Raw genomic sequence first — 14,691 nt, 5'->3', positions numbered from 1 at the left:
TCTACCTCACTAGTTATAATAGACCTCATGTGATATTTCCAACATGTGAGTTATCTTGGTGTTGGTATATGATGATTTTCTCTTCCCTTGAGAATAAGTCACATTTTCCTATTTTTAGAAAAAATACTTTGGGATTATATGCTAAATTGTGTGACTACTACTCCGTACAATATTGTAGAGAAACTTTCTGGCCAGAAAGTCTCCTATAAAAGCAAAAAATAAGGATATCAGTCCATGCAGACTGACTGTTCCATATTTTGACTACCCTCCAAAGCCTGCCTGCTTTTATTCAATCTCCATAACCCTATAGATGTTATCTATATTATATGCAGAGTTTACAAATGGTTATTTGTGAGAAGATCAGTTTGTTAGGAGCTCACCCCTCCATACAAGTATTGGAAATCCTCTGAAGTGAATTTTAATTTGGAGGTTGTGTTATACTTTTTCTCTTATCAGTTAGAACTTTATTATGATATAGCAATTCATAAAACCATTGTTATCATATTCATAAATGAAGGAGAGAACTCAAAGCTAAATTTTCAAATATCTGGCAATGAAGACTAACTGCTTGCCACACAGGGTTAACATAACACTGAGAAAATATCTAGTAATAACTATAAAATATAAAAACTTTGTTAAAATCTGATTTGCAAGCTTATGTCAAAGGGCCACCTGATACACAAGATTTTATAATCTTGAAGACATTAAATAACCCCAAATAGAGATCCACAGTAAACTTATCTGATAGTAAATTTTACCATACTAGACAAATCTACAGTGAGATTTTCAGTATTTTAAATATTTTCTGAATTTCTGTATTTTATTTTCCAAACTGAATGATTTAGTTAATAAGTGACACCCTAACTTATTTACTGTTTCCAGAAAATAACCAAGTACAGAATATTTACTGATAAACTGCAACGCTCAAAACCAAAAATTCGACAGAACAAAAATTACCTAGCACTCCAGTGACCAGCAAGTCAAAATCATTTGTGATAGGCTCCATTGAATATACAGTTTGATGACATTATTTGAAGGTAGAATTAACTTATTTTATTAATTTCGAAGCCCGTATGTTGACATGCTATCTACACTAAGCTCAGAATCATAAATATTGTCTGACCATTACAATGAAAGAAAGTTCCATATAACTTAAGGCAAAAAAATATAAATACTATGTTATTATACAACACTAAGTAATTTAAACTCCATTTGTGATTTATCCAAATGTCCACTAGTTATTATATTCTCTACACCTTAAAAATTCCACTGTAGCCCTCTACCCCTTCACTCACAGAAAGTGACTTTACCAAGATAATTGTGACTATAATGTGTGAACTACTCAGGTTTTCTTCTGTCAAAACACAATCTGATCAAATGCATTCCTCCTTCCCTATATTCTCTGAATTTCTGAAAAAAAAAGCTTTTTAATATAAAAAATTTTTGCTGATGCCTGTCATGGTAGCAACTGTATTTATAATATTTACAAATTGAGAAAATGCATTTACCCGTGGATTTATCATCAACCCAAGCTAACAACAAGGGGTGCAGTGAGCTGAGAACTTTCAAAACTTAATAAAATACTCTCTGATGTAATGCCCAAATTTACAAGTATATCTCTTAAAAGTTCTGACTTTAGGTACTCTACTGTGTGTTAGGATACTAAGGATACACTATGTCACATGAGCTGTGTACACATGATGACAGGGTTACTGCTCATTATCACTGCTGTTAAAAAGAATGACAAGAAAGACGTGTGAAAAGAATACTACAAATTACAGAGTTTGCAAAGCTGTTCAGGACAAAGTTTGTTTCTTTGTGAATAGAAGAATTACAAAATTGCTTATATTCAGCCCTTTTCCTTGATGTTGCCAGGAAGCTCCCATCAATTCTAAAATTTAACATTAGCAATCATATTGGATTTGTATTTTCTTGATATTCTACCTTCTTATATTTCATTTGTTTGCTTGTCACTCTATTTAATATCATTCTATTAGAGCTTAAAAAGACACTGCAAGTATTTTATGAAAAAACTCAAAGAACTAGGAAAGAAAAGCATGCAGCATATTAATACAAAATGTGAATTACAAAAATATTCCTATGCAAGATCAACAATGGCAGAACCAGGATGCAAACCCAACAAAAAGACCCATGAAAGAAAAAGTAACTGTACAAGCACAAGTTCATTTCTAGAGCTAGTAAGACAAAACCAAAAATGATATGGAAAATACATGATAGCAAGTATTGTTACCTTGACATAAAAATAATAGCATTATTCTTCTTCAGTATTATTATGGTTATTAAAGTCACTGAGAACAAAAAGATCTTTTAATATGGGTAAATTCAAACTTTCCTCTCTCTCTCTCTCTCTCTCTGTATATATATATATATATGACATACAAAGAGAAATACCAATGCAAAAATACAAAGGCCAAAGAGGGAATATTTTTTAATATTTACTACTCCTTTCCATTACACAATCTTCACATTAATTATTTAAATTGAGTTCAATAAAAAACCACACTTCCATACAAGACAAGTACTCCTTCAGAATTATAAACACTTTGACTATAATGTGTAATTCTCTTTCAGCTCGAAGTAGTTTGAGACTTTACAATTCCCAATGTGATTTAAATAGAACCCTTATATACTCCCCTAGCCAGATGTACTACACACTTAAAACTAACTCATATATGTGCACGCTCTATCTTACCTAGAGTCTTTGTTTTTAAAGTTTAAAAAACAAAAAGAATATGATAAATTACATTAATTAGTTTTGCTAAATTAGTATACTCACTACTGTACCTACTTCCTCACTTAGTGCAATTAAAGCAAAACTATAAGCTAAAATTGAATAATTTTAGGCCCATGAAATATATTATCTTAGTTTCCTTCTAAATCTTTAACTCTTCTTTCCAAGTTACCAGTAATATTAACAAGTTCTTTATTATGTTCATTAAGTAATATGTATATTTCAAATTTTTGTATTTTAAATACTACATTAAGCAAAACAGTTTTATAAGATCTATTATTTCAGAATTGTTAACAAAAGGCATGCCATGAATATTAGAAAATATTCTGAAGAATAAAAGTTTATAAAATGGTTAAGAAGCATCTTTGAACCAAAAAGAAACATATAATAAAACTTGACTACATTCCAAAAAATAGAAATGACTCTTAAACCGTATTAAAGATTTTCACTAAAAATGATATTACACCACATTTTACATCTAAAACTCTCCATAGAATTTATAAAATTACAGTTATTACTACCTTATATCCAGGTCCTAACTGATGAATTGCAAATATCTGTGCTGGGTTGAGTGCTTCACTGAACACATACACGGCACCAAGTTGACCACAGAATACCCTATTTGCATCAGCAGTTTCTGATGATCCAAGAAAGCACTTGTCATAGCTCTATTTTTAAAAGTAATAAAGAAAAATGCATTATTTTTAATGACAAAAAGGTTTAAATCCTTAAATCGGCCTTCATTATCATGAATATTTTAAAATATAACAATAATAATAGAAGAAAGCATCAATTAAGACTTTATTATTTTAATAATAAATGCCAGTCAAGTTTTTTGGGAAAAATGATCAGTTACATGTTTCACACTTATGTTTAAGCAAACAAACAATAGCCACCTACTTAATCTTCAGACTTACCACTTTTCAAATACTATAGTTAAAGGCAAAATAGCTTATAATTATTTATTTACAAAAGTTAAACTAATTTAAAACTGTAATGATGTATAATGATCCATATATGGAGAGATTGATCTGAATCAAGGGAATGACTATTCCAAAATTTAATCATGAACACATAGGGTCTAATTTTTTTATTCTACTTTATTTTTCAAATTACAAATCTATTCCTCTACTTCTCCATATTAAGTAAAAGACACAAAGAAAATCAATCGCTTCTCATATATGAGTAGGAATTACACAGAATCAAATAAACAATAAGACTAAGATCTGCTGCTTAAAGCCGATGGTACAGTGCTCTCCACAAGAGGAATTCAGCACTGAAGAAGCCAAAAGCTTGATCTTTCCAGCCTCTACTTCTTACACCCCGCCCACCCAAACCAGGGAAGGCAGTCATGGCTCAGTTCCTTTCTCCTATCCCCACAGGCTATTTCACACCTTAGAACGAATAAGCAAAAATTATATATGTAAGAAGTACTTTTCGTACTGCAATAAAGTAACAAAAAAAATTGTGAATGGAGAACAAAGGCAAAAAAAATTGTCGTCATTAAATACACAATCTTTAATTAGAAGTATGGGAACTTTAACTGCATAAAGAATGTATATATGTGTTATAATCTAGAATTCTCCACTTCTTAGGGCACTATTACAAATAACCAAAAAACTAAGTCTTTTCTTTCCAAGATACTGTCTTCTCATTTAATGAGTCAAGAAGACCACTGGGATTTCCTCCACTCTATAATAAAAAGACTCTGGAGAGATCTCCTCTGGAGAGAAGATAAAAAGCAGAATTTCATCTGTGTATTCTAATTCTGAAAACAACATTCTATTAAATATTTATTGGTTGTGGCTCAACCATAAGTTTCTACGGCAGAGAAAAGTAACGTTTTCTATAAAGGGACAGACAGAAGATATTTTAAACTTTGCCTGCCACACCTGGTTTCTGTCCCATTCTTCTTTGATTTTGTTTGCGTCTCTTAAAAAACAAAAAAACAAAAACCTTTAAAAATTAAAAGCCAAGATTCTTAGCCCCCAGCTTACACAAAACCAGAAACAGGGGGAGGGTCAGATTTGGCTCATAGGGTGTAGTCTGCCCAGCCCCAATCTAGGGGACAAACTGTGGACCATATGCACAGTGCTAGTTAAAAGAATACAAGACAGGATAAGCAAATCCCTGCCCTTCGGGAGATGAAAGCCTAGAGAGATGCAAACAAAACTGAGAAATGAATTGTGTTTAAGAGGTAAGTTCTTATAAAACCAGGTATGCTTGAAGGGTTGTATATTATTGAGCTTGGAGGTACTTTCAGCATTAAAACAAACCTTTCACTTTGGCTCTGACAGGCCGGAATGTAGACAATGGAAAGCCCAAAGTAGAGAAACCGTAAGGACCCTTGAGGTTTTGATTCTAGTTATTCTCTACCTAGAATCCAACTGTGTCAATTCTTCCCCTGCTAATATACTGGTAGACACTAATAAAGTCTCTTTGTTTTATTATAATAAGCGATTTAAGTGATCTTCCCGCTTCTGTAATTTCCCTTCAAAATATTCTCAATACTGCAGGCAGACTGATGGTTTTAAAATAGAAGCACACATCACTTGTCTGCTGAAAACCTTCCAAGGATTTTTAAGCTGAGTAAGATGCGAAAACCCAGGCCTTGTTTGCTTATGAAGGCCAAAATGATTTCTGCCTAACCTCATCTCTTAATATTATTTTGCCTCTTCCTCCCTCTGCTCCAGACAAATTGCCTTTTCCTTGAACTTTCCTATTCTGCCTCAAAGCCTTTGCACTCACTGTTCCCACTGAATAGAAGAAGTTCCCCACATATCTTGCTTGCTCAACTCTTCCTACTAAAATCATCTCTGGACCATCTTGCTTCTCCCTTCCCTACACCTACTTCCTGTATCCCCAATTTATTTTCTCCATAGCATTTATCACTATGTAATTAATAATAGTGACTATCTGTTATACTTCTGTTTAGGGTCTTCTTTCCATATCTAAATAAGGGGTAAACCACATTTTTTAGTGCTTGATGCTGGAAAAAAACAGAATACAGGATTCATGGTTTTTGATCTAAAAAACTTAAAACTTTGGCTAAATGTTTCTGTTTTTTTAATCACTAATCATGTCTTTTAGAAATTTTCTTATACTAAATTTAACAATGAAAGATTTATTTAATAAAAAGAATAAACTTTCAAAGTTTTAAGCTTCTACCAAACTATTTTATTATTTAATTCATATTGTAATGATAGATCATACTCCCAAACAAATTAAAACACAGACAGAAAAATAAAGACTTACATCATTTGTGTTAACATGCCAAGCCATATCACCATAAGATACCAGTTGTCCATTAACATAACACCGAATTTCACTGTTCCTCCATCGATTGTAAATGTGGACAATGCTGATCATGTACCACTTAAATAAAAAAATTAAATATATCAATATGTAATGTTTGGTTGTTACAGTCTAAAATGCAATTGTAACATTCATAAAACCCTACAAGAATATGCTGACAGGACTATTAAGGATCATCTAATACCACTTGATCAAGTTCCCCCTCTCATTTCTCATTTCACAGATGGTAGAAGTGGCACATAAAGAATACTCCTGGAGAAGACAAGAACTACAACCCCTTGACCTCCAGCGTGACGTTCCTTCCACTATACCAAGATTCGAAATTGTAGAAATACAATTTATTTGTGTTCATTCATTTAAAATTTACATTGTGCCAAGCACTGCAGATACCCAAGGCTGACCAGTTCTCCTAGAATTTATGAGCTAGTAAAAGAAATATATATGACACAATTAAACAAATGTAGAATTATAAATCATGGTGATTACAGTGAAGAGAAAAAGAACAGTATAAACTGAAAAAGAATAAACAAGGATTCTACTTTGGATTGCATGGTCAGGAAGGATCTGTCAAAGAAACAACATTTTAGCATTTATAATAAGATTTAGGTAGCTTCAATTTCACCATTTAGATTTAGTAAATCCAGGATAATTATATATTTAATAACAATGTGGGAATATTTATTAAGAATAAATGAAAGAGTTCATATTAAGTGCCCATTTTATAGTTACTGGTATCAAAAAGCATTTTAAGTATCTATTTTAATATGGATGGTTTGATTTCTGTAGCAACCTTTAGTCTCCTGAGAGTTAATAGCCTAAAATCGAGAATATAGAAATAATTTTTTCTAAAGTATAGAAAAATACAAATGATTTGTAAACATTTGAACAAGTATGCTTTCTGAAGTTAAGGGGGGAAAATTAACTGGTTTCTCCCTCCCACCAAAATATAAAATACAAACTTTGTTCTACAGATTATTTAAATGCACTATTCAATTATTTCATATATATTTTCAGAAATAAAAAGTTACAATAATCCTTAATCACTAAAATATTAGTTATTTCAAGGTATCTAAAATACTTTGAGCAAAATTCAATTTTGTTCATTTCAACTTAGAAAATAAAAATAGGCTGGGCACGGTGGCTCATACCTGTAATCCCAGCACTTTGGGAGGCCAAGGTGGGCAGATCAACTGACGTCAGAAGTTCGAGACCAGGCTGGCCAACATGGTGAAACCCCGTGTCTACTAAAAATACAAAAATTAGCCAGGCCTGGTGGCATGTGCCTGTAATCCCAGCTACCAGGGAGGCTGAGGCACAAGAATCACTTGAACCTGGGAGGCAGAGGTTGCAGTGAGCCAAGATCACACCACTGCACTCCAGCCTGGGCGACAGGGCAAGACTTTGTCTCAAAAAAAAAAAAAAAAAAGAAAAGAAAACAGAAAAAGAAAAAAAAAACAGTGTATTAACTCAAAAAAGTCAGTAATACAAAACAACAGTGTGCTTCTATAAAAGCAAGGTCAGGTCAAGACATTTAACTGTCTAAAATGCACATCCTTTTTTAAGTTTTTTCATTCCAGGTAATCATTAATTTATTGGAAACTAAGTCTTTCACTTGATTTGAAACCAACATATATGTTAGCCCTGATTAAAATCAGAAGAGAAAATCTTTAAAGTATTCATTTAACAATTGTTTCTAAATATTACAAAATTATCAAGAAAAAACCGTAAAAAGAGTGTCAAATAAATTTAAGGAAAATCTTATAGAATTTTACAAGTATAAGAATTAAAGTTTGCATATATTACCTTCACTGAATTTGAAAATATTCAATCAGAATGCTATCTAAATAACACAGAAGACACAAACTTTATATTGTGGAATAAAATGTGTAAACTTTGCATTTCTAAAGAGAAGAGACACGAATAAATGCCTACATATAGGAAAAGATTTCCTGCCCAAAGACAGTTTTAAGATAAATACTAGATGTATTATTATACTTATTGGTGTACTTACTATTAAAAAAAGTACTCATTCAAACAATACTTACTGAGTTCTTACTACTCCAGATAATGTACTGGGCAGGAAGAATTTTACTTCATAAAGACATGAATTGGATTCCCAAGTTACTAGCTCTATGGCTTTTGGCAAATTACTTAGTATCTCTGAACCTATTTTCATCTCTGAAAAAGGGGAATAATAATGCCTACTTTGTGGATTCCTTGTGAATATTATAAATAGATAATGTATGAAAACTATGAGGAAAAGTTCCTAATGTATTTGGCACCCATACATAACATACCATTGACTAAACTGCTATTTTGTTTTTATCTACTATGTCCCATGATGAGGTTTGTTTATGCTAAAATTGATTATTATTTACCTTTCAAAGGCATTCATTCATTCAAAAAATGTACTGAGCCTACTTTATGCCAAGTACCCTATCCCAACCTTGGATCATGGGTATATAAAGACGGACAACATATACACACTCAAGGAAGTTTCACTAGAGAAACAGTTATGAGAATAGAGAGTATCTAAAATACAGATTTGGGAGTAATAAAAGTAAATACTATAAGTAACTGGGAAGGAAAGACAAATAGAGAAGAAAGACTATCATAGAAATATTCACTAAAAGAATAAAATGAACTGTAAGACTAAGCTTGAAGGATGAAAAGGAACTGTTCAGTAGACAGTGGTTAAAAAAACATTCCAGGCAGAATCTTAATACAATACAGCACAGATGCTTGACAAAACTTTCCTCAGTGTGTAGGTTTAGCAGGAAAAACACAAAAACAAAAACAGGCAAAGACCAGATTGTAAACAGACCTTTAGGCCTTTGTTTTTTGCATAATGTGGTATAACTAAATAATTCTGAGCAGGAAAGTGAAACGATCTGCTCCATAGTTAAAGAAAATAACTGGCAGCAATGTGGAGGTGAGATAGGCAGGCAAGTGTGGATAAAGATAAAATTGAAAAGCCACTGCAAAGATTTAGGTAAGACACCATAAGCTGCGGAACTAAGACAAAGGCACTCATAATTTTAAAATGAGGATGGGAATTAACTAACAGAACTGATAGGAAGTGTTAACATATAAAAGGGGAGTCTAAGATGGGAGTCTAAGATGGCTTCCAATTTTCACTTAGATGGGTAAGGGTACCATTAACTTAAGATAATTAATACAGAAAAATTAATCAGATTTGGAGTTTATCAAGGTTTGCTTTTGGTTGTAACAATAATATATGATAAAATTAAATGAATGAATAAACAAATGCACTGATTAATGAGCTGATCTCAGTAAAGACCATAGTACTTATTTACAAGAAAAGTAACTTTTCTCTTTCCTTGGTACACCAAACTGTACTCTACAGATAACAGACACAAATGAGTTTTTCAATGGTTAAAAAAAAAAGCCTAACTTTTGATCTGATATACTTTGACTAAAGAAAATAAAAATAAACTTGGAAACTATGTGTGCATAGTGATATTATGTATATATACTGAAGTCTGCATTTAGTTTGAGACTCAAAAAGAAATTTATAAAAGAAAGACACAACCAGTAATAAGGAATAAAAAGATCCATATTAAGAATCCACAAGATATGTATTATAAATTGAAGATATGAAAATAAATTGAAAATTAAAAGTACAGCATGATATCAATAGTAGCTAATATGTCTAGAGCACATATTACCATTAGGTAACATGCTAATGGTTTATATCCATTTTCACAAGTTCTAACAGCTGGTTAAGTGGTACAGCTGGGAAAGCAAAAGCTTTAATGTAAAGATTTCTTTTTGAAAGGCCAGTAAATCTCTTATTAGGAAGGATAACAACAACTTAGCTAGGGAATCTATGGAAAATTAAAGAGAGGAATAAACAAGAGAATGAATTTATTTTGAATAATGAAACACAGTAAAAGCAAATATTTATGACTTTTCAAGGTTTGTGAGAATCTTCACAAAAGACTTTTTAAAATCCACATCACTCTCTGGCCCTGCTCCTAACTAGACCCCTTAGATTCACTGCATATTGAGAGCTTTACAAAGGAGAATGTGTTTTCCAAAAGTGAACAGTGAAGAAGACACAAAATAGAAAAAGTGAGAACAAATGGGTTAAAGTGCTTTTTATTGGTTAATGACAATTTCATTTGGTTATAACTTCACTCTAATTGTTTGCCTGTACATTCTTTAAACCACCATTTCCTAAAATTGTCTGAAGAGAAAAGTTACCTAGAATATTTGTTAAAAACACACAATCCTAACATGAAAAATTATAATACCAACAACTGTACTTCTAATCTATTCCACTGAAATTCAAAATAATTTGGCACTTTTAGCAAACTATCTTGGTCTCACCTTAATTCTAATAAAACAGAATTTCCAGAGCAAAGGCAATGTGATTGGTATTAAAATAATCAATTTGTATTAAAAAAGAAAGAATACACCATTATAATGAATGAATATATTTATTCAGAATCATTGCTTTTTAAATCATTTTCTAAGTATATGTTAATGAATTACTGTTAAATTGATATTCTTTAACAGAAATGACAATAACTGACATTAAATATAAAGCAAATATTTTTATTAGAATCATGTAAAATCTAAACAAATTTTGGAAATACCACCCAAAATAATATATTTTTCCGTATATGGGAAGACACACATCAGATCATAAGCAACAACAAACAAAAAAGATACGAAAAAGAAATAAAGATCTCCCCCTCACCACATTTGGGTTCATCATATCTGTTATGATTGTACCATTAATCACAAAGGGTAAGGCAATATTTCTGTTAGGAGGAGGCAGTGTGCCCTAAAAAACGTTGATAATCTCACTGTCATATACCCAAGAAAGAACCCTGAACCTGGAAGGGGAACAAAGCCTTAAACATGTGTGACGGGTACCCCTATGCACTCTGTCCTGGTTTTCTTTCATCTGGATTTTCAGATGGTTTGTTATTCTGACACAAAGATGGAGTCTGGTACTCAGGCAGGAAAATCCCTCTAGAAAATGCCACCTGATTATGAATGAATTATCTCTTATAATTCTAATCATACAGTTGCACAGTTCTCTGCATTTTCTCTTTAGAGCAGTTTTTAAAATGTGTTTTGGCCTTGTCTCTGCTATTATTTGAGATATTAAGTAAAGATACATTTCATGAGCCAAAACTAACAGTACAGCAACATTCCTCTCCTTGAAGCCAGCATTATTAAAGCATCACAAATTAACAAAACCTTCAATCTCAGGAAACAATATTCAGAACTACTAGGATTAGGTTAATCTCCCACAAAAAAAATGTGTCTGTGCATTGCTTAATCTGGGGGTTTAACATTTAACTTTTTTAAAAAAAGGCAAATATTTATTAATCCCTAGTGCCTACAATGGTATCCAATACTCAGTAGATAATAAGTATCTATTGAAAGAATGCCATAAAACAGATCAGACTGAGATAATGAGAGAGTGTAAGAGAAATACACCACAAGATATCAAAACACTGATCTTACAGAAGACAAAAATTAGACATAAAAGTAAAAAGGAAATGCAGACAAGGATAAGAGAAAACAATTAAAAGCATAGGAAAACCCGTGAAAGAGAATACTACAGAGCTCATAAAAGGAGAGTTAAGAATTCTGTCATAACAGGTGAGTTATAAAAATATTTACTTTTACCTACCTTGCGTGGTTGAAAATCATATTTCACACAATGCTGAAAACCTTTTCCTTTGGACTTCAATGATGTGACTATTAAACAGTTGCCAACAAAATGAGCAGAGTAACCAACTCCTTTGCTAGTACGAAAACTGCAAAGACAACTGAGAATAGTATAATATCCTCTGATAAAAAGAACTAAACACCTAATGGCTATTAAACATTCTTATAAAAATAAAACTTATTTCCCTGTACAGTAGAAGCAGTTTAATATGTGTCAAATAAAAACTAAACAAAAATATAAAAGGTTAGTTATAAGTAAATATAAGAAATTTAAACTAGGAAATAAAAGACTATGACAGCTTTTAGTATTTCAATCTAAAATCTCAGAAATACTTAAAAACAAATTAATTGCCAACAAAAGCCTACCACCAAGTAGACTTTAAGGACCATTTGCAATCAGCAAATACAGAACACATTTACACAAAGTTCACATTTTAAATAACAACCTGCTCTCTAATTCTGGTATACCTTTGAAAATAGCTTAGAAATTAAAAAGAAAAAGAAAAAAAAACTTGGTCAGAGTCAAGTTTGATAAATGATACAGTTGATCAAGCAAAGCAGTACATTTTTAGTTTAAAAAATTAAAAAGATGTAACTATGAAATATAGTTGTTTTCTTCTACAAGAGCATTTCCCTTAGCTGTAAATTTATCACGATGTAGAAAAATGTTTAATCACTGAAAAATGCAGATACCACTGAAATTAATGTATGATCTCCCAAAATGACCACTTTGAAGTCCAACCCCATTTATGTTTGGAAGTTCAGATGCTTATTTAAAACTTGGTCTCATTTTATCCATATATATTTTATAATAGAGCTTAGAAGATAGTAATAGCTCACATATTTCTGTGTTCACATTTCTGACCCAGCCATTATACAAAGAGCTTTAAATATGATTCTCTCATTAAATCCTATGGGATAGACACTATTACTATCCTCATTGGTATAGTTGAAGACACCAAAAGTACAAGGTGAATAGTAGGTGGTAAAGCCAGAACTTGAACACAGGCCGTCTTATTACAGAGTATTGCAAGTATTAAATGAAATCATATATATAAACACTTACAATGCCTAGCATACAGTATGGCAATCAATGAATGTTTGATGTACTTATTGTTAAGTATGCTGTACTGTGTATTACTGGCATACTAAAATTATCAAGCTTTCAACCCTTACAGATCAACACATTGTTAGGTTGATCAACTCATTCTAGTTGTCTACACCAAATAATCTTATCTTATAATTTCTTACATAGTTATTATCAACAATTTTAAAGCATATGTCAGTTATGCTCATAGAACAAAGTAAGTGAAAAGGCAAAAATGAATGAAATCTGGTAAAAGTTTGGAATTTTTTTCAGGGACCAGCAATCCTCACTAAAAATCCCACAACTGATATACATTGAAGGAGACTGGGACAGAAAGTCTGTACCTTTGACTTTTAAACTGTAATTGGAAAAGAATGATAATCATGAAGCAGATGACCTAGAATCAATAGCAAAATAAATGCATATATACATACATAAATAAAACTGATTTACAGTGTCTTCACAGTTCTAGCATATATTATACGCACATATATACATATATTCTATCTAAGTTGCCTTGAGACTATACATTTATAGAATTCAAGTACTTAAAGAAAAAAGTACTAAAATTAAACATATTACTTACCAATAAAGATAAGGTTTATCCTTATCAACATTAATATTATTTAATGGATCCATACGAAACCAAGTGTTTAAGGTGAAGCCATTCTGATAAGGCCACTTTGCAATAGGAGGCAAGGCAATTGCCTACAAGGCAATGAGAAAAGGTACGAAAGTATCAGTTAAAGAAATGTGATAGTAGCTAAGGTCAAATATGGCTTTTGCAGATTAAATAACAATCAAAGTATAAATACCAGAAAATCACAAACAAATCCATAAAATAAGAGCTAGTATTTTATTAAAACAATCTCAGTACACCTAAATAGTATTTGTTGATTATAGAAACATTCAATTTTCAAATGCTCAGTGAATTAGATTTTATCTCTAGATTACATAGCGGGTTTCAGACTATACTCCAAGAAGTCGCCATCTAGTTTCATCAGTATACAGTCTCTTACACATAAGCCTCCCAATTTCAGTTTTCTGTGGTTTACACTAGGTTTTCAGTAGTAACCCATTTGGTTAAAGGAGATTGAATATTTAAAGCCAAAAATGACTGAGCTAGAAAATGTTAATGGAATCAATATTGAAGAAATGCAAGCATTAAGAGATAATGTTCATAATGCTAACAACATTGAAACTAAGAAAGGCAAAGTATGACATTTATTACTCAGAAACTTAACTACTGATATTTATAACCAAAAAGGATTCAGATCCATTCATAAGCAGAAAAGGAGTAATATAGGACTCCCTTGAAAATAGCAATCAAATAAAATGTAGCCATTCTAAGGAATAAATAAGAAAGTAGCTGATTATTTCACCTGACTTCAAGAAATGTGTGAATGTATTTATTTATTTTCCTAGACTTTATCAAAATTCTACATAAAAGATATCCTCAAATAGATCTTTCATGTTGCTGATAATGGCCTTTCTCAAATACAACACGGACCTTCCATGTCAAAAATCTTCTGCATTCAGAATAAAATTTAAATTTCTTCATGTTATACAGGACTTCCCACGTGCTATGGCTCCAACAAACCCTTCTGATTTTATCCTCCTCTACTACCCAACCCCACATTCCAAAGTACATCTAAATATACCAGCTATTCCACTAGTTCTTTTACAGTTCCTCTTCCTATACATCATGTTGCTTCTATCCAAATCATTCTTCCTTCTAACAAAATCTCATTTATTCTTTAATAGCAGACTAATATGTTTCCTCATCTGTGAAGCTTTTCTGGACTTCAACCTAGCATGGTTTCTC

General features: G+C 31.7%; 1 protein-coding gene across 12 annotated transcripts in view; it reads right to left on the bottom strand.

Moving 5' to 3' along the window:
* Window positions 1-14,691, bottom strand: part of NBEA (neurobeachin) — a 730,467-nt gene that overhangs the window by 610,600 nt on the left and 105,176 nt on the right. For all 12 annotated transcript variants that reach the window (XM_047430271.1, NM_001385012.1, XM_006719803.4 and 9 more), the window contains 4 exons: window positions 13,453-13,574; window positions 11,742-11,868; window positions 6,008-6,127; window positions 3,274-3,420 (listed from right to left, as the gene is read on the bottom strand). In XM_047430271.1, the coding sequence (XP_047286227.1) occupies window positions 3,274-3,420; window positions 6,008-6,127; window positions 11,742-11,868; window positions 13,453-13,574 (516 nt within the window). The remainder of the gene's footprint in view (window positions 1-3,273; window positions 3,421-6,007; window positions 6,128-11,741; window positions 11,869-13,452; window positions 13,575-14,691) is intronic.

This window comes from Homo sapiens, chromosome 13 (genome assembly GCF_000001405.40).
Source record: "Homo sapiens chromosome 13, GRCh38.p14 Primary Assembly".
NCBI lineage: Eukaryota > Metazoa > Chordata > Mammalia > Primates > Hominidae > Homo > Homo sapiens.
The sequence above is the reverse complement of the archived record's forward strand: the minus strand, read 5'-3'. Positions and strand labels throughout refer to the sequence as shown.